Source organism: Homo sapiens, chromosome 1 (genome assembly GCF_000001405.40).
Source record: "Homo sapiens chromosome 1, GRCh38.p14 Primary Assembly".
In the NCBI taxonomy this organism is placed as follows: Eukaryota; Metazoa; Chordata; class Mammalia; order Primates; family Hominidae; genus Homo; species Homo sapiens.
This window is the reverse complement of record NC_000001.11, coordinates 77,407,396-77,429,140: the sequence shown is the minus strand read 5'-3', so window position 1 is coordinate 77,429,140 and position 21,745 is coordinate 77,407,396. Positions and strand designations below refer to the sequence as shown.

At 38.7% G+C, this 21,745-nt stretch overlaps 1 protein-coding gene and 1 pseudogene across 8 annotated transcripts in view; both read right to left on the bottom strand.

Annotated features, from left to right (window-relative positions):
• The window catches only part of AK5 (adenylate kinase 5), a 277,948-nt gene that overhangs the window by 130,826 nt on the left and 125,377 nt on the right, over positions 1-21,745 (bottom strand). For all 8 annotated transcript variants that reach the window (NM_174858.3, XM_005270739.6, XM_017001012.2 and 5 more), the window contains 2 exons: positions 18,070-18,160; positions 11,426-11,502 (listed from right to left, as the gene is read on the bottom strand). In NM_174858.3, coding sequence (NP_777283.1) covers positions 11,426-11,502; positions 18,070-18,160 — 168 coding nt within the window. The remainder of the gene's footprint in view (positions 1-11,425; positions 11,503-18,069; positions 18,161-21,745) is intronic.
• RNU7-8P (RNA, U7 small nuclear 8 pseudogene) lies at positions 8,757-8,815 on the bottom strand (annotated as a pseudogene).

Genomic DNA, 21,745 nt, shown 5'->3' with positions numbered 1-21,745 from the left:
ATTTGACCCAGCCATCCCATTACTGGGTATATACCCAAAGGATTATAAATCATGCAGCTATAAAGACACACACACACACATATGTTTATTGTGGCACTATTCACAATAGCAAAGACTTGGAACCAACCCAAATGTCCAACAATGATAGACTGGATTAAGAAAAGGCACATATACACCGTGGAATACTATGCAGCCATAAAAATGATGAGTTCATGTCCTTTGTAGGGACATGGATGAAGCTGGAAACCATCATTCTCAGCAAACTATCGCAAGGACAAAAAACCAAACACCGCATGTTCTCACTCATAGGTGGGAATTGAACAATGAGAACACATGGACACAGGAAGGGGAACATCACACACTGGGGCCTGTTGTGGGGTGAGGGGAGGGGGTAGGGGTAGCATTTGGAGATATACCTAATGTTAAATGACAAGTTACTGGGCGCAGTACACCAACATGGCACATGTATACATACGTAACTAACCTGCACGTTGTGCACATGTACCCTAAAACTTAAAGTATAATTAAAAAAATTAAAAAAAAAAGAACTTGGATAGAGCATAAACCTGAAGACAAGCTGCACACCTCCTCCTTTGAAGCTGGTTGAATGGACAAAGGTACAAATAAGCCTAATAATGGAGTGGAAGGCCTGGGCTATCACCTTCATCAGTGTTTTTGGTTTTGGTTTTTCATCCTATGGGAAAAAGTCAGTACTTTTATTGATGGGGCATTTGTTCCTCTGGATAGCTGAAGCTGCAGAAGTGTGGCTTCAGGTTTTGAGAACCTAAGTGATAGTTTTCTCTGTGTTGAGCAGGTATTTTCAATGAACAAAAAAGTACACAGAGAAGAGGAACAGCACACATTTTCCTTGGTGTGACCTTTGTCAATCTGGTGTCATTTTCAGATTTAGTGTGTGGGCTCAGCAACTCTACACACTCTGCTCAGACCATTAGCAGAAGTTTTACATTTTAATGGAGTCCAGATTATGCACTTTTTCTTTTGTGGATTATACCTTTGGTGCTATATCTAAAAAGCCACTGTCATTAATACGATTTGGAGGTTCTGTCCCATCTCATCTCATGTTGAAATGTGACCTCCCCTGTTGGAGATGTGGCCTATGAGAGGTGTTTGGGTCATGGAGGCAGATCCTTCATGAATAGCTTGGTTCTGTCCTTGTGGTAATAAGTGAGTTCCCATTTTATGTGTTCATCTGTGAACAAGGACACTTTTATTTATTCCTTCTTAATCTATATGCTTTTTATTTTCTTGTCTTATTGCATTAGCTTGGGCTTCTATGTATAATGCTGAAAAGCAATGGTGAAAGGAGACATCCTTGCCTTATTTCTTTTCTTAGCAGAAAAGCAGGAAAGCTTCAAGTTTCTCATCATTAAGTATGATGTTAGCTGTAGGCTTTTTACATATGTTGTTGATGATTTTCACATCTGCACTTATAAAGATACTGGTCTGCAGTTTTCTTTTTTTGTAATGTCTTTGTCTAGTGTTGGTATATAGAGAATGGTTCATAGAATGAGTTAGAAAATATTCCCTCTGCTTCTATCTTCTGATAGAGAATTGGTATGATTTCTTCCTTAAATGTTTGGTAAAATTCACCAGTGAACCTAGAGCTTTCTGTTTTGGGAGATTATTAGTTATTGATTCAATTTATTTAATAATATATACCTATTCAGATAGTTTGTTTCTTCTTGTATGAGTTTTGGCTGTGTCTTTCAAAGAATTGGTCCATTTCATATCAAATTCGTGGGCATAGCATTGTTAATAATATTTCTTTATTATCCCTTTAATGTCCATGAGATCTGTAGTGATTTCCCATCTTCTATTTCTGATAATAATTTGTGTTTCTCTATTTTTTCCTTGGTTAGCCTGGCTAGAGGCTCATTGATTTTATGGATCTTTTCAAAGATCCAGCTTTTGGTTTTGTTAGTTTTCTGTTTTGATTTCCTATTTATAATTTCATTGATTTCTGCTTTAATTTTTATTAGTTTTTTTTCTTTGGCTTACTTTGGACTTAATTTGGTCTTCTTTTTCTAGTTTTCTACAGTGGAGGCTTTTATTAGTTTTAATTTTTCTTTTGTTCTAATATATGAATTCAATGTATATACAAATATATCCATTCAATTGTATAAATTTCCCCATTATCACTGCTTTTGGTGCATCTCACAAATTTTGTTAAATTTTCATTTTCATTTAGTTCAAAATATTTTAACATTTCTCTTGAGGTTTTTTATTTGACCCAAGTGTTATTTAGAAATGTGCTGTTTAATCACCAGGTATTTGAGGATTTTCTATCTTTCTGTTATTGAATACTAGTTTAATTTGACTGTGTTCTGAGAGCAGACACTGTATGATTTATATTCTTTTAAACTTGTTAAGGTATGTTTTATGACCCAGAATGTAGTCTTGGTGAATATTCCATGTGAGCTTGAGAAGAATGTGTATTCTGTTGTTGTTGGATAAAGCAGTCTATAGATGCCAGTTATATCCAGTTGACTGGTGGTGTTTGGTGGTATTATTGAGTTCAACTACAACCTTATTGATTTTCTTCTGGTTGGATCTGTCCATTTCTGATAGAGGAGTGTTGAAGTCTCCAGCTATAATAGTGAATTCACTTATTTCTCCTTGCTATTCTACTAGTTTTTGCCTTACGTGTTTTGATGCTTAGTTGTTAGGCACATACACATTAAGAATTATTATGTCCTCTTGGAGAATTAACCTCTTTATCATTATGTAATGCTTTAAAAAATCTCTGATAACTTTCCTTCCTCTAAATTCTGCTCTGTCTGAAATTAATATAGCAACTCCTGCTTTCTTTTGATTAGCGTTAGCGTGGTAGAGCTTTCTCTATTTACTTTTAATCTATATGTGTCTTTATACTTAAAAGTGGGTTTCTTGTAGACAACATATAGTGGGGTCTTGATTTTTGATCCACTCTGACAATCTCTGTCATTTGATAGGTGTGCTTAGATCACTGAAATTTAAAGTGATTATTGATATACTTGGATTAATATATACCATATTTGTTACTGTTTCCTATTTGTTGCTTTTGTTCTTTGTTCCTATTTTTGTCTGGCAAACTTTTTCTGCCTTTTGTAGTTTTATTTGAGCATTATGAGTCTTTTTCTCTCCTTTATGAGCATACCACATATACTTCTTTTCTCACTTTTTAAATTGGTTGTCCTGAAATTTGCAATAAACATTTGCAACTATTTCAAGTCCACTTTCAAATAACACTCTACTGCTTCATGGGTAGTGCAAGTACCTTGTAATAACAAAACATTCCTAATTCCTCCTTTCTGTTCTTTGTATCATTGCTCTCATTTATTTCACTTACACATAAACATGTATACAGAATCATAAGTATATATAATTAAATATATTGTTGCTATTATTTTGAACATACTCATCTGTTAGATCAATTAAGAATAAGAAAAATTTCTTTATTTTATCTTCACTTATTCATTCTCTCATGCTCTTCCTTTCTTTACATAGATTTGAGTTTCTGAACTACATCATTTTTCTTTTCTTTTCTTTTTTTTGAGACAGAGTCTTGCTCTATCACCCAGGCCGGAGTGCAGTGGCATGATCTTGGCTCACTGCAACCTCCGCCTCCTGGTTTCAAGCAATTCTCCTGCCTCAGCCTCCTGAGTAGCTGGGACTACAGGCGTGTGCCACCATACCCGGCCAATTTTTTGGATTTTTAGTAGAGATGGGGTTTCACCATGTTGGCCAAGCTGGTCTCAAACTCCTGACCTCAAGCAATCCACCTGCCTTGGCCTCCCAAAGTGCTGGGATTACAGGCGTGAGCCACCATGCCTGGCTCTATGTCATTTTTTCTTCTTTAAAGAAGTTCTTTTAACATTTCTTGCCAGGCAGGTCTGCTGGCAACAAATTCCCCCAATTTTTGTTGATCTCAGAAAGTCTCTATTTCTCCTTCATTTTTGAAGGATAATTTTGTCGAGTACAGAATTCTAGGTTGGTGCTTTATTCCCCTCTTTCAACACTTTAAATATTTTACTCCATTTTCTTCCTGCATGCAAAGTTTCTGAAAAGAAAGTAAAAATGATTTTGATCTTCGCTCTACTACAGGTAAGGCATTTTTAAAATCTGGCTTCTTTCAAGATTTGTTTCTCTATTTTTGATTTTCTGAAGTTTGTATATAAAGGCCTTTTGTTTTGGGGCGTTTATCTTGCTTGATATTTTCTGAGATTCCTGGATCTGTGGTTTGGTGTTGTTCATTAATCTAGGGGAAATTCTCAGTTAATGTTGCTTCAAATATTGCTTCTGTTCATTACTCTCTTTCTTTTCCTTCTGGTATTCCCATTATGCATATGTTACATCTTTTGTAGCTGTCCTATGTTTCTCAGATATTCAGTTCTGTTTTTTCAGCCTTTCCCTTTGTTTTTCAGCCTTGAAAGTTTCTATTGTCATATACTCAAGCTCAGAGATTCTCTCCCCAGCCATGTGCAGTCTATTAAATGTACCCATCAAAGGCATTCTTCACCTCTATTACAGTGTTTTTGATCTCTAGAATTTCTTTTTGCTTCTGTGTTAGAATTTCCTTCTCTGCTTACATTATCCATTTGTTCTTGCATGTTGTCTATTTATTATCATTAAAGTCCTTGGCATATTAATCATAGTTTTAAAAAATTCCCAGCCTGGGCAACACAGCATGACTCATCTACACAAAAAATAAAATTAGCCAGGCATGGTGGTGTACATCTGTAGTCCTAGCTACTCAAGAGGCTGAGGCAAGAGGATTGCTTGAGCTGAGGAGCTCAAGGCTGCAGTGAGCTATGATCATGCCACTGCACTTCAACCTGGGCAACACAGCAAAAGTCTGTCTCTAAAAAATAAAATAAAATGTTCCTGGTCTGATGACCCACATTCCTGCTATATATGACTGGTTCTGATGCTTAGTCTATTCAAATCATGTTTTTTGCCTTTTGACATACCTTGTAATTTTTCCTTGACAGATGGACCTGATATACTGAATAAAAGGAACCACAGTAAATAATCTTTAGTAATGCTGTGATAAAGTATGGGGCCGGGGAATTGTTCTACAGTCCTATAATTAGGTCTCAGTCTTTTGGTGAGCCTGTGGCCCTGGACTGTGAACTCTGCCAGTGTTTTTCGATACTTTTCTCCCTTTGGGTGGGACAGGATGGCTAGAGGTGGCTAGAGTTGGGTTTTCTCTTGCTCTAGGAATGTTATGCCCTGGTAAAGTAGTTTCTTCTGAGGGCAGGCCTTGTTAAGGAGCAGAATGCTTTAGCATATTTCAAAGTGTTTTTTTTTTCTCCTCCCACGGCCAGAAGACTGAGGGGAATTTTTCCAGATATTCACTGTGAGGACCTGGCAAAGCTCCTGGAGGTAAAACTTACAGAAGTGTGGGGTCCCATGACTGGATCTCTCTGGGATTTTTAACTCTCATATTGTCCACACTGAACCTCCAGCTATTATCACTGTTCAGTGTTTCCAGCCCTGGTACAGGCTTCTACAGACGTTTCTGCTTGAGGGTTTCTGTTTGGGTAAGTTGTGATTCTCTGATTGTCTCTCCAATCTTTGGGGTAAGGGTTTGTCCTGTAACCTCACTTCTCTGACAGATCTAAGAGTGATTGTTTATTTTCAGTTGTTCAGCTTTTTACTGGTTGTTAGGATAGAGCAGCAACTTCTAAGTGCCTCACATGCCAGTCCAGGAATCAGAAGTGCTCAGACAACTGGCATTCACTTAGTTGAAGAAGAGGTGGCCTCTGTCAGCTATAGAAGGCTATCTTGAAAAGTTCAGTCATATTTGAAAGAGGGAAGGTAGGGAACTCACATTTATGCAGCATTTGTTCTGTACAAGGTACCCTGCACTCCCTACCTCTGACAACAGTAGTTCTTCTTTTTTTTTTATTTTTTTTTTTAGACGGAGTCTTGCTCTGTTGCCCAGGCAGGAGTGCAGTGGTGCTATCTTGGCCCACTGTAAGCTCCACCTCCCGGGTTCACGCCATTCTCCTGCCTCAGCCTCCCAAGTAGCTGGGACTACAGGTGCCCACCACCACGCCCGGCTAATTTTTTGTTTTTGTATTTTTAGTAGAGACAAGGTTTCACCATGTTAGCCAGGATGGTCTCAATCTCCTGACCTCGTGATCCACCCACCTTGGCCTCCCAAAGTGCTGGGATTACAGGCGTGAGCCACCGCACCCAGCCAACAGTACTTCTAAGTGGGGTTGTCACCACCATTTTCTCGAAGGGAAAATTGAGGCCCAAAAGGGGCTCAGTAAGGCATAAAAACATCACACATTAAGTAGAAGAACTGGAATTCATGTTCTTGGCTTTAAACAAATGGGCATTTATTGAGCATATGCCATATGCCAGGCTCCGTGGCAGGCACTGGGGATACAGAGAGCAGAACATAGTACCTGAAATGCAAGATAATATTACAACACAGAGTATCACGGGCCCCCTGAGAAGGTGAACCAAACCTGTGACAAGAGAAGGGTTTCCTAGAGGGGAAGCTTGGTCCTGATGGTGCATGAGTAGAGGTCACACGGGACAGAAGCAATAGGGTTGAGGAAACTTCCATATAGAGGAAAGGGACTGTGCAAACATGACCCATTTGAGGGACCTGAGAATGGCTTTGTGTGGCTGGAGCAGTCAGTGTGTTTTGATAAGTGGCAATGGATGAGTTTGGAGAAAAATGTAGGGGTCATATTCAGATTTGAAAGTTTCTATGAATCTTCTAAGAGCTTCCAGTTTAATTCTGAAATCGATGAAGAGCCAAGAAAAGTTTTAAGCCATGGAATGCCATGATTGTGTGTGCTTTCAGGAAGATAATTTGATGGGTGAGCAGACTGAGGGAAGGAGACTGGTTAGGAGGCTGGCCCTATGGTCCCAGGGAGGAAGGCTGAGGGTGTGAACCAAAGCATGGGCAGTGGAGTGGGAGAAGCAATTCCTGCACAGGAGAACTGAGTAGCTTCTTGATCAAACTGATGTAGGAAGAGAGAGAAAGGAAGGAGGCTAGGAAGACGCCCTTGTGTCTGGCTTGGGCAGCTGGAGAATGGTGGTATCATTCACAGAAATAGGAAGAACAGAAGGAAGAACAGATTTTGTGGGGGAAGATGGTGAGCGTGGTTTTGGACATGTTGAATTCAAGATGCACATGGGAAATCCAACTGGTGTTACTTAGTAGTCAGACATATGCAACAGGAGCTCACCAGGAAGCCTTAAGTGAAGTCAAAACCATGGCTGTGACTGAGCCTCTCACAGGAGAACATGTGCAGTTAGGAGAGAAGGGGCCATGGTCAGTATGCTGGGGAGTGTTCACAGTTAAATAATAGACTGATGGAGAGGAGTTCAGCAAGGAAACCAAGAATGAGTGAAGCGAGAAGTAAGAGGGAGGGATCACATGGAGGCAGGTGCTGCAGCCTGTGGTTAGGAGCAGAAGCTTTGTGGCTGAGACTGGCTTGGTGCTCAACAAACCCATCTCTCCCTTCCTGGGCATATAAATAAGCTCCATTTCTCAGCCTCCTTGCATCTAGGTAGAGCCAGTGACTAGGGTTGCTACTGAATGTGAGATGAGGTAATGTGCAATTAAATGCAGGTGCATCTTCCTCAAGTTCTTCTCCTTCCCATCCATAATCCCTTTGGAGATCACATGTAAAAGGAACTCTGGAAGGAAAGCTCTCAGATTTTGAGTTTTATTAATTATACCAGCATAACCTAGCCTATCTTTCCTGCGCCTGGCTCTGGAGTCACACAGCTGGATTTGAATCCTAGCTCTACCTTTTGAATCCTGGCTTTACCTCTTGCCAACCATGTGACCTTGAGTAAACTTCTTAATTTCTCTGTGCCTCAGATCCCTCATCAGGAAAATTGGGATAATAATAATATAGTTGTCTGAGGATAAAATGAGGTAATAAATATGAAGCACACCGACAAGTATTAAAAGCTCTAGAAATGTTGAAAGCTAATGGAAAGAATGTCAGGAATGGGGGAATGGTTCACGACAGGAGTCAGCAAACTATGGCCTGCAGGTCAAATCCACTCTGCTGCCTATTTTTATATGGCCTTTCAGCAAGAATGAATTTTACATTTTTAAATGGTGGAAATAAATGACATGAAAATTATATGGAATTTGAATTTCAGTATCCACATATGATGTTTTACTGCAACAAAGCCACATTCATTGTTTACATATTGTTATGGCTGTTTTGCTCAATGATGGCAGAGTTTGAGTAGTTGCAACAGATAACATACGGGCCCACAAAGCCTAAAATATTTACACTGCCTGGTCCTTTACAGAAAAAGTGTGGTGATCCCTAGTTTACGGTGTCAAATGCAGCAAAGGTCAAGAAAGATAACTAAAAAGGGTTAACTGGAATTGGCAAAAGATTACTAGTGAGCTTGTTAATGGCTTTATTGGAGTGGGGAAAGTGGAGAATAGATTTTGGTGCCAGGCAAATCAAAGTTTGATTTCTGACTCTACAGCTTGCTAGCTTTATGGTCTTGGGAAGTCAGTTAACTTTTGTGAGCTTCAATTTCCTTGGCTTCAAATTAGGGATTAACAGAGCTTACTTCTTGAGTTATTGTAAGGATCAGCAATAATGCATGTAAACCATAAAACACATTCCTGGTTTAGAGTAGGTGCTAAATAAATGCAAGTTCTTGTTTCATTTAATCTGCTGCAAACAAAATTGTCATTCCTTTATAGTAACTGCATTTTCACTTTTTAATTTTTTAAAAGAATTTTTTTTTCTGGGCTTTCCAGCAAAAACTAGAAAGCCTGCTAGACAAATTCTAAAAGAGCTGTAACACTATATTTTCACTTTTAATATTTTAGTTTTCTCTTCCATCTTCTGCTGGTTTACATTATATTTTAAGTCACTGCTCAAATCTCACCTCTTTAATGAGGGCATACCATTTAATATGGACCATCCTGATTAATGTGGTAATCTGTTCCTCCCCCAGCATTCCTAACCCCCTTACCTTTTCTACTTTCTTTTCTCATAGAGTTTATCACCTCTGACAATCTAGAAAACTGACTAATTTACTATGTTTATTGTTTACTTTCTGTCTTCTGCACTCTGATGTAAGCTTCTTGCCACAAGAGCCCTTGCTTCTTTTATGTAATTATATTCTAAGTGCCTAAACAGAAACTGGCACACAGTCGGTGTCCAATTAATACTTGTTGAATGATTAAATGAAAAAAGAGTAGATGAGGATTAAAAAAAAATCCTGCTCAGGACTGGATATGTTCCTTCCATCTTGGGACTGGGACTTGTCTTATTCATCTCTGTAAAATTCTCAACTATTATCTGTTAAAAAATAACTGTAAAATTCTCAACTATTAACTGTTAAAAAATAACCTCGGCTCCATCACCTCCATTCTCTCTTTCTGGAATTCCTTTTAGAATATGTTGAACCAATCATTCTATCCTCAATGTCTCCTAAGTTCTTTCTCATATTTGACAACTATTTAGCTCTGTGTTTTATTCTATGGCAATTTCCTCTACTCTATCAAGTGCCTTTTTAGCTGCATCTAGTTTACTATTCAACCGTTAATTGAATTTCTGTTTCAATTGACGATATTTTTGTGTGTGCCTACAATGCCTGTTTCTTCCCTTTTTCTTTCTTCTTTTCCATTTGTTCATGTATTTGTTTCATGGCTTCTAATCTTCCCTTTCAATATTTTGAATATCCTTATATTATGATTTCTTTCAGATTTTTCTGTTCTTTCTAGTTCTTGGGGGGTGTGGAGTCTTCCATTTCTTTAACTAGCTGGCTTCCTTGTTGTGAATCATTTCTTTGTGCAGTCTGTAATTTTAGATTGTAAGTGGTTGTTTTGCATTAGCCTCTGCTGGAGTCTTATGGGTCAGCAACTGAAAAGGCTCCCAATACATATCATTGAATGACCTGTCTTTGGAGGTTAGGATGGGAGGCAGTACATTGTGGCAGAGGCAGCACAACCTCTTTCTTTTGTAAATTGCCCAGTCTTGGGTATGCTAGAGAATGTGCCCTAAGTTCACATCCTTATTGTGAAACTATTTATGTAACCTTGGGTAAATTACTCTTCTAGTCCTTTTTTTTTTTGTCTGTGATATAGAGATAATAATTCTTACTTCCTAGAGATGTTGTGAAGAATTGCTGAGTTAATATAAGAAACTCGGCACAACGTTTTGCATGTAATAAGTGCTTAATAGATGTTAAAAATTACTATAAACATGTGTAGCTATTATAGCACTTGCCAACATCATCTCCTTGCTTTGTGCTATAAGGAAAGAACTTTATACTCAAGAAAATAGCTCCTGAATACGTATATGAAATATACAGCCAGCCATTACACATGGACACTGGTCTGATCTGTTTGCTTTATTTGTGATGAATATTAGTTAAAGATGGGAACAAAGCCTCCCCCAAGAACATGTTCACTTGGCTTTTAGCCATTGCTGAGGAGCACTGATGAGAGGCGGAAGAAAGTTTTGGACATTTTTCTTTTTTAAAAATAAAGCCTAATTAGGGGGTTGGCTCATTTGCCAACTATTTTGGTTCATTAAAATATAGCAGCAGAGAGAGTTCTTCTGCTGAGAGGAAAATGACCCAGATAAATGTCTTCAGTTTTATTCAAAGAGAAAATGTATTTAACTTCTTGGCTATGCTTTCCTCGTTCATCATTCCCTTCCACAGACTAGTGATATGGTTTGGCTCTGTGTCCCCACCCAAATCTCATCTTGTAGCTCCCATAATTCCCACATGTTGTGAGAGGGAGCCAGTGGGAGATGACTGAATCACAGGGGCGGGTCTTTTCTGTGCTGTTGTGATAGTGAATGGGTCTCACAAGATCCGATGGTTTTAAAATCAGGAGTTTCCCTGGACAAGTTCTCCCTTTGCCTGCTGCCATCCATGTAAGATGTGACTTGCTCCTCCTTGTCTTCTGCCATGATTGTGAGGTCTCCCCAGTCATGTGAAACTGTGAGTTCTCCATTAAACCTCTTTCTTTTATAAATTGCCCAGTCTTGGGTATGTCTTTATCAGCAGCTTGAAAATGGACTAATACAGTTAGCGATAAAATAGCAGAGCCCTGAACCTGTAGCTGATGCTCAGTAAATATTATTAGTTTATTAGTGGGAAGGGATAGAGACACAGGCAAATTCTTGGGCAAGAGAACCTCATTTCTATCCCATGTTAACGTTTGATGATAAACCTTTCTTTAATTCACTGTGTTTTGAATCTTAGGACAAGGGAGTGCCAAAAAGCCAAACTTAGTGAATGAAAACTGTAGACTACTGTAATTTATCATGTAATATGTTATTAGTTATCTGTATATATTTCACAAAATGAGTTTTTATAATTCAAATTTTCATAAAACATTTACAAAGGTTCAACTTAAAAACATTTAAATAGAGAACTATTTTCAGATTTTAATTACCTGATCTTCATAATCAGATCCTGTATCAATGATCTCTCCAGTGTCCAATATCATCGAAGGATCAAGGTCACTTGAACCTAAGATTAGGAAAGAAAAGATAAGTGGATGGAGGTTGTCTATGTATGTTTCTAAAGCAAACAGTCTCTCACTAGGTTTCCATATTTTCCTATATCACATTAAATTCACAAACATTTCTAGACTGTTCTCATCTGCCAGGTACAATGTTTTGCTGGAGATTCAAAATGCAGAGACTCTGGACACTGTCTGCATCCTTAAGAAGAAGAAAATACTGTGAGGAAGAATAATTTGTCAACAAGAGTTATTATTAAAGGTTCAGCAACCCAAGAGAGTGAGCTACTAATTCTGATTAGTAGTAGAGGTGATGGTGGAGTTAAGATTCTTCATGAGGTACTAATCTATGATCCTGAATTTTGAGGGTGAATACAGGTTGTCCAGGAGGGGGAGCAGTTTCAGGATTTGCAACAATAATGGAAGTAGAAGGAACACCATGAGCAAAGTACAGAGTGGGAGGAGAGTAAGGGGTTTCCAGAAACAGGAAGGGCTAAGTTTGCGTACTCCCTGAAAACTCGAGTTTTTCCTCAAGCCTTCGGGTCACCTTAGTTGCTGAAGGTAAGAAAAATCGGGTTAACTTAATGTATGAATAGAGAGATTATTTCCCTTAGGTACTACAGGTTTCATTAAATCAGTTACCCATTAATCCCCAAGGCTCAGACTTAAACTGGTAATTTTTACAATGGGACTTCTGAAGCACAACTGATTCATCATTCTCATTTAATAACTCTTTCCTGCTAGGAAATATATATCATCTAACTACCCAGAAAGACTGAATTCAGTGCTGCCCATAAAATATTATATATCCTGTGAAAAAACATTGTTTCACTGTAAACTTGGCCTTGGCAAATCATTCTTAGTCAGAATATCCAATGAGTAATGCATAATGAATATAAATTTGTAAAAAATGTTAAGCATCTCATACACTTCTCAGATATAGACCTGTCCCCGATGTTGCTTTCATATTTTCTTTCCAAATGAGTCGGGGTATGTCCTTACACAGTCTTCTCTCATCTCTTCTCTTTTTTCCCCCTTCTCTTCTCTTATCATTGTCCCTGCTGTCTACCAACTTGACAAAGTAATAGCCATTACCAAATTGATTAAGTTCTAAGCAGTAATGCCAGTGTTTACTGTGTTTATATCTTTACATTTTTTACAGGATGATAAAGTTTTTCAAAATGGACATACTAAACCATCAAACCATTTTGGAAAAGTAATCATAGCGTTGCCATGAAGAGTTGCAGTTGCATAAGTGTGTTCAGAACAACCCTGGGTGATGCTAGTCATGCTGTCAGCACAGCCCTTGCCAGACCACTGTTCATAAGATGGCTGCTAGAATGGAGTTGGCAAGACTACCCACCATACTATTAACAGAGATTAGAAGGTAGAGGTGGGAAACTTTAATTTACATATGTATTTTAACATTAGTGGGATTATACATAATTTTTCTACCTTTGTACTTTTGGTATTTTTTTCAAATAAATAATTTTGTAAGGTGTATTTTGGGGCCAAAATACTCAGCCGTCGTAAAGCCCAGTTTGAAGGTCAGTTTGCACTTATGTTGTGAGGCAGTAAGTATCAGAAATAAAAAAAAAATCTATATATGTATTTTTCCCATTATAAGATAATAGACATTTTAGAACTATCAGGTTGGTGCAAAAGAAATTGTGGTTTTTGCCACTACTTTCAACGTCTGTTTCACAGAATCCCACTTCTCATTTTAGAAAAGAGGAAAATGAGATGCAGAGAAGTTAAAAAACTTGGCCTAGGTCATGTAGAAAGTGCCTGAGACCAAAGGCAGAGCCAGTAGCTCCTACTTCTCTTTATAACACACCATGCTGACTCCAAATTCTAAGCAAGGGCAATCGAAATGGGTTTATACAGACCCTCTTTCGCTACAGTGCTCTGCAGGAAAGGACCTGGAGGAGCATGCTGTCAAGTCCATGTGCTGAGAAAATGAGGAACAGTGAATGGTTGATGATGACGCAGGTCATAGGGTGGCTGTGGAAATGGAAGAATCAGAAGTGGAATTAAGGAGTCTCATTCAAGCTGGTAACAATCAATGCTCCCTTCTAGGTGGCTGCTATTGAAAGCATCATTAAAGATAACACAAATTTTATCTGGCTTTCTTTACTTCCACAATATGATTATTATCTGCCACTGACTGGTGGAAGTGGTGATAGCTATTGGATTCAAATGATACCTTTGCTTCACCTGTACTTAGAGTGATTCATGTGGAGTGAGTACTGTGATCTGAACATGAAATCTTTTTAAACATATAGCTGCTTTTAGTACCCGTGTCCTACTTATTTTATTTAATTACAAAGTGTTCTTTCCGTTGTTTTCAAAAACGACAATGTGAAAGGCTCTTAAACAACTCAGTTAACGGATATTACACGTTAATACTTGAAAACGGAGCAAGATAATTAGAAAACTATCATCAGCAATGGTAGAATGAAAATACCTTTGTTTAAAAGAAAGCTTCATGCTTATAAGTAAGAAGAGATTGGATTTCCTAATAAAATGTATGTTGTTTTTTTTTGACAGAGTCTCCCTCTGTTGCAATAAGATGCTTTCAACAGGAATTATATTGTATCATTAGGGATGAAATTTCTTGAAACATTGTTACTCCTGGCAACAGGATTAATATATCATAGGAGGCAACAGACAAAGGATATCATTATCAGCTTGGATAATGATTGAATGGCTTTCATTTTCTTTTAGCATTGGTTTCTTGGTTTGCTGAAAATGGGACCTTTAATAATACTCTAAGGTTTGACACAAAAAATAGAGGGAAAATATAGACAAATGTACACATTACTGCCTTCTTTCGTTGGATAATTTAACACATAAAACAACTGCAATGATATTGTTACTCAAAAAAGACAGAAAAATTAGGATGTTACGAAAAAGTGATAGTGTAGCTTTCATTTTCCCCGTTTTGAATTTTTCAATTTCTTTCCAGATTTAAAAATATTATTTCTATAGATGACAGAGAAAGGTATGCGCTGAAATACAGAACCCTAGAGGAAGCACCCAGTGCTGCTAGTTTTAGAATGGCCTTCAGAAATATTATTTTCAGGTTGGCTCCTTAAATTTAAGGGGGAAGGTGATACAAATTAGCTTTAGAGGTACCAGAGGCTAACCATATTACTTTCTGGGTCAACGTTACAGATGTTTTTCCTCCTAGTGGATCTTTAACTCAAAGTTTTAGGAAAATCCTCCTCCCACTTTGAGTACCCCATAAAGACACTCCTACAATTGCAGGGCTTCTTAAGCAGTGAAGGGTGTCCGTAAATAAAACTCCTCCAACCCTTAAACTGCACCCTCTGAGGAAAGCAGTTTCTCCCTTGTCCTGTCCCTTACAGCGTAGCTTACAGTTTTATTTTCATTAACAGTTTCGTTACAGTTTAATTTTAACGAAAATTAAACCTGTAAGGGTTGTGTTTCATTTCTGAATCTAAGAACAAAACTTAGAAGGTACATGTGTTCAATGCATACGTACCAAATGACTAAAAATGAAAGGACACTTCCACTTTACCTGTACAGGTCTTGCTCTCATTGATCCATGCTACAAACATTAAATGTCTCCTATAAGTGCCTGACCTGCATTAAGCACTGAGAGGCCAGCTCGAATTCCACAGGCATGGAAAGTGTTCATTACAATGTGTAGGAAGAGCACTGTATTTACTTGGAAAAATATTCTGACGGTATTTGGGACTAGAACTCTTTGAGGGATCTGGGTGTTGATGGGTTGCTCTGGGTGAGAAGGGGAAGTGGGGAGTTTTTCAGTTACTCCAGGACAGGGTTGGGGCAGGGAGGAGGGCAGAGAAGGAGAAGAGAGAAGAAGTAGATCCAGGAAAAGTGGAGAAAGTTGTATTGTGTAAGATGTGGTTTCTCCCCATGAGCCCTCAAATCTGCTGCAAAGACAGGAACCCATAGATAGCCTTTTCAATGTGACAACCACATACTTTGCATACAGAAACCATTTATTTTTCAGAACAATCCTCTGGGGTAGCTGCTATTATTATCCCCTCTTTATAGATAAGGAGATGGAGGCCCAGAGCAGTTGAGTGACGCAGCCAGATGGCTTTGCTAGAAGTGTGGGTGGAGGGCTTCATTGAGGGGGAGACACTGTAGACAGGCCTTGAAGAAGCAGACGATCAGAGCAATGGTAGTCTCTAAGAAAAGTCCTGGTACACCTGTGGGTCACAGGGTGCTATTCAAGGGCCTAATCTAGTCTGGGGTGGGGTCTGAGAAAGTCTCCTTGAGAAAATCACCACGTTTACTCTGAGGCGCAAAGTAGAATCTGGCCAGGTGCAGGATGGGGCTCTATGGGGTTGGGAGAGTGAGAGGGATGCAAATGAGGAGAGGCATTTTCTAAGCAGAGAGAAGAGCAGGTGGAAAATGCCTAAGGCAGGAAGGAACTTGAGGTATTCAGAGAACTGGGGGAAGCTGGTGCCAGTGACGTTGGGGAGGGGATGTTATGGCAGTAACAGGACCACTGCAGGAAAGCAAAGGATTTGGGGCTTTCTTCTGTGCTAAGGGTACTCGTGGCCAGCCTGCAGGAGTCATTGAAGGTTTTGTTTTGTTTTTTTTTCAGAAAGGCAGGATGATTAGAGCTGCATTCTGTGAAGATCTCCATGGCAGCAGGACATTCATGACAGACAGGAGAGGCCAGGGATGAGGAATGACAAAGCGTTTGGTGACTGCAGTGGGAATAAAGACAAAGGTTTGGACTCCCAAGGTGCCCCCGTGGATTGATGATCAGTGTGGAGTGTGAGGGCAAGAACACTTCTGCCTGGCTCCCCGGAGAAAGGTCAAGGTGAGAGAAAGAGAATTGGATGCCATTCATAGGAGGCGATATGGGAGCTGTGGGGCAGCTGAGATTCTGCAGAAAGAGAGTTGAGAGAGAAAAAAACAGTGGCGGGACCAAACCTGGAGGCTGACAATTCATAGAGCAGAGGCCATGGATATGACTTATTTATTGGGTGAGTCATCAACATTTATAAGCCAGGAGATTTCACCATTGTTCCTTAACAGCGACAGTTTCCTGGAGCTACACAGTATCTGCCTCCTGCAGGGGAGGCACCATTTACTTCTAGTTTACTGCACTTTATTCACCTAGGGCTGTTTTAGAGAAAACAAACTTATTCTAAGGCTGAAGCAGAAGCCAGCTTTCAGGGGGTCTCAGGAGTGGAAGAGTTAGCGGGAGTTGAGGCTGCAAGCACAGAGTCTTCTGTTTATGAGCTCTGAGGTACAGAGAGGAGAAAGTAGACACCTGGAAACTGCTGTTAAGGCTCAGGCACTATGCACTTTACCAAGGGGACCTTAAGAGAATGAGGACACAGCACGTGTCCTCAGGCGGTTTCCTATTGGTACAGAAACCAGCACAGTTGCATCACTGCAGGGCACAAGGCTCCCTAGTGGAGAAACACCGCTAGGGAGCCACGAAGTGCTGGGTGTCCCAAAGAAGGGGTGGCTTAAATCAGCCCCTCCATCCCACTGTATTAGCAAACTGAGGATATCTAGCAGTTAGATATTTGTCGTTAGAGGTAGTCACTTCTAAAGCATCTTCTAAATAAAATATTAACTTGAAAAGCACAGAGTCATAGTATTTTTCAGAGCAGCAGTAGTCATGTTTTCATAATCTTAAATGATTCTCAATATTTCATCTTTCTTGCAATAGGCCAACTTTTTATAAATCTCATCAGAAAGTTAGGCAGATGAGTTTACATCGGTTATCTGTGTTCTGTGGGTCTGCCCAGAAAGACTACCACCTTACCCTTGTAATTCTGTCTTTCTTTGAAGCTACTCTTAGGTGGCTTCAAATAGTGATTTAAAATGTTAAGTGTTTAGCCTTTTTTCTTTGTGGCCCCAAGCTTTTGGTCTTTACCCTTTGAGATCATTACTCAGAAGAAAGAAGGTCAGGACTGAGACTAAGATTGGAGAGTCATCCACATAGAATTGATGTTGAAGCCACCTGTGACAATGAGTTGGCTCAGGGTCAGAGTACGGAGAGAATGAGAGGGGGGTCAGGACAGAACCATGAGTACTGCCTACATTAGGAGGTATGATTACTCTACATCAGAGTCCAAAGTCAAAATTCCAGGCAAGAGCACTTAGGAAGAGAAGAGGTAGGGTCACACAGGAGCTGTGGGTTGGGATGGGAGTGGCTACCAGATTGGAGGGGATGCTTTTATCCAGGCAATGAGGTAGAAACCTATCGTATGAGTTAGGGGGTCCTGGAGATATTGTAAATTTTAATTGTACAAAGTATGGGTTAGGTTAGATATTTTTCTATTATAGTAACATAGGCCCTATGTTACATTGTGACTACCTGGTAATTTACATGTGCAATGACTGGAAGAAAAGCAGCAACTATAAGGAACAGATTTATAGCCTTTCCTCTCTACTTTGTTTTATACTTTTATTTTTATACCAGAAAGTATAAGACTTTGTCATCCTTCAAAACTTGCAGCAGTTTGTTGAACTTCAACCATTAATACAAAGCCCCAGACATTTGGCAGGTGATCACGGCGTACTGTTGTCTAAAGGACACAGTGACTTACCTGCTGCAGCCTCTTTGTTTGGAAATAACTTGTTGTCAACTGCCATGCTGATGTCATAGAACACCTCATCCTCATCGCGGTCGGCATCAAACTGGGGGAAATCAGGACAGACAAGTTTGGAATGTGAGAATACACAAATTAGTTAATTCAAAAATATAATGAGCATCCATCACACAACTGTATCTCTAATGAAGCAGAACAACAGGAATTAAAGCATTTGAGTCTTTAATCAGACATTTAGAGGGTTTTAAGCCCAGACCTCCTATCGAACAGAGAAGAGTATTAGGGAATAAATGTACAGTCACTTATGGTTAAAAAAAAGTGTAATATTTTCTTAATTTATGGAGCACGTTTGGAAAAACTAACTGAAATTTATCTTGTGGCTTTCTGACTTCATTTTTCTAATTTGAAAAACATGAAAATATATAGTTCTAAACAGTAGATGTTCTAAACTTATTGTTAAAAACAAAAACAAAAACAAAAACACAAAGAGGCTGGGTGCAGTGGCTCACTCCTGTAATCCTAGCACTTTGGGAGGCCGAGGTGGGCAGGTTGCTTGAGGCCAGGAGTTTGAGACCAGCCTGGCCAACACGGCAAAACCCCGTCTCTACTAAAAATACAAAAAAATTAGCCAGGCATGGTGGCATGTGCCTGTAGTCCCAGCTACTAGGGAGGCTGAGGCACGAGAATCACTTGAACCCGGGAGGCAGAGGTTGTAGTGAGCCAAGATGGCGCTGCTGTACTCCAGCCTGGGGGACAGACTGAGACTCTGTCTCCAAAAACAACAACAACAACAACAAAACCTCCAAACCAAATTTCAGATACTATACTAGATACAATATTATAGATGTGGTCTGTGGATTCTATGGATTTAGATATAACAAAAATTATAGATTTAAATATTTATTTTATAATTCTCTAAAATTTACAAAATTTTAAATATTTTAAAATGACATAGTTATATTTATGAATTCTCTATTTTCTGAGTTTTTCAGTGGTTTGTTAACACATTTTTGTCCCTTTAGTTTTTAAAAATAGCTTTACTATGACAAAAACAAGTAATGCAGAAAAGACTCCCTATTCAATAAATAGTGCTGGGATAACTGGCTAGCCGTATGCAGAAGATTGAAGCTGAACCCCTTCCTTACACCATATATGAAAATGAACTTAAGATAGATTAAAGTCTTAGATGTAAAACCCAAAACTATAAAATTCCTAGAAGACAACCTAGGCAATACCATCCTGGACACAGGAATGGGCAAAGATTTCATGACAAAGATATGAAAAGCAATAGCAACAACAGCAAAAATTGACAAGTGGGATCTAATTAAACTTGAGAGCTTCTGCACTGCTAAAGAAACTACCAGCAGAGTAAACAGACAACCTACAGAATGGGAGAAAATATTTGCAAACTATGCATCTGACAAAGGTCTACTATCCAGCATCTTACAAAGAACTTAAACAAATTTACAAGAGTAAAACAAATACCTCCATTAAAAATTGGGCAAAGGACATGAACAGACATGTCTCAAAAGAAGACATACATGCAGCCATCAAGCATATGAAAAAAAAGCTCAATATCACTGATCATTAGAGAAATGCAAATCAAAGCCCCAATGAGATACCATCTCATAGCAATCAGAATGACTATTATTAAAAAGTGAAAAAATAACAGATGGTAGTGAGGTTGTGTTGGTGGGAGTGTAAATTAGTTTGACCATTGTGGAAAGCAGTACGGCAATTCCTCGAAGAGTAAAAGCAGAACTACCATTTGACCCAGCAACCCCATTACTGGGCATATACCTGGCGGAGTATAAACCATTCTCCCATAAAGACACATACACGTGAATCTTCATTGCAGCATTATTCACAATAGCAAATACATGGAATCAACCTAAATACCCATCAATGACAGATTGGAAAAAGGAAATGTGGTACATATATACCATGGAATACTATGCAGCCATAAAAAAGAATGAAGTCATGTCTTCTGTGGGAACACAGATGGAACTGGAGGTCATTGTCCTTACAAAACTAATGCAGGAACAGAAAACCAAATACCACATGTCCTTACTTGTAAGTGGGAGCTAAACGATAAGAACTTATGAACACAAAGAAGGAAACAACAGACACTGGGGTTTACTTGAGCGGGGAGAGTAGGAGGAGGCAGAGAAGCAGAAAATATAACTATTAGATACCGGGCTTAATACCTGGGTGATGAAATAATATGTATAACAAACCCCAATGACATATGTTTACCTATGTAACAAACCTTTACATGTGCCCCCAAACCAAAAATAAAAATTAAAAAAGAAAAAAATAGATAACATGACAAACAAAAATAAAAATAACTTTACTGAGTTCTAAGTGATACACAATGAACTGCACATATTTAAAATATGCAGATTATAAGTTTTAAAAATTGATAAGTGGGACCTAATTAAACCAAAGAGCTTTTGCACAGCAAAAGAAACTACCAACAGAGCAAACACACAACCTACAGAATGAGAGAAAATATTCACAAACTACACATCCAACAAAGGTCTAATATCCAGAATTTATAAGAAACTTAAACAATTCAACAAGCAAAAAACAAATAACCCTATTAAAAAGTGGGCAAAAGACATAAACACTTCTCAAAAAAAGACTTACAAGTGGCCAAAAAACATGAAAAAATGCTCAACATCATTAATCATCAGAGAAATGCAAATCAAAACTACAATGAGATACCATCTCACACCAGTCAGAAGGCTATTATTAAAGAGACAAAAAAAGATGGATGCTGCAGAGGCTGCAGAGAAAAGGAAATGTTTTTACTATTGGTGGGAATACAAATTAGTTCAGCCACTGTGGAATGCAGTTTGGAGATTTCTCAAAGAACTTAAAACAGGTTCTTTGACCATTTGACCCAGGAATTCCATTACTGGGTATATATCCAAAGAAAATAAATCATTCTACTAAAAAGACAAATGCACTCATATGTTCATTACAGCACTATTCACAATAGCAAAGACATGGAATTAACCTGGGTCCCCAACAATGGTGGACTGGATAAAGAAAATGTGGTACATATACATCATGGAATAAGACACAGCCATAAAAAAGAATGAAATCATGTCCTTTGCAGCAACATGGAAGCATCTGGAAGCCATTATGCTAAGTGAATTAGCAAAGGAACAGAAAACCAAATACCACATGTTCTCACTTATAAGTGGAAGCTAAACACTGGTTATGCAGGGAGATAAAGATGGGAACAACAGACTCTGGGGACTACTAGAGAGGGGAGGGAAGGTGGGGGACAAAGTTTGAAAAACTATCTATTGGGTACTGTGTTCACTACCCGGGTGATGGCGTCAATCATACTCTAAACCTCAGCAGCATGCAACATACCCAGGTAGCAAATCTGCACATGTACCCCAAATCAAAATAAAAATTGAAATTATATTTAAAAAAACAAATTATAAGTTTTGATATATGTCTACACCCGTGAAACCATCATAAAAATAAAAATAGTTAACATACCCATCACCCCCCAAAGACTCCTCATGCCCCTTTGGAATCCCTTTTCCTTCTCCTCTCCCCAGGTAACCATTTATCTGCTTTCTGTAACCACAGATTATTTTACATTTTCTAGATTTTTACATAAAATGAATAATACCGTATGCAACTATTTTTG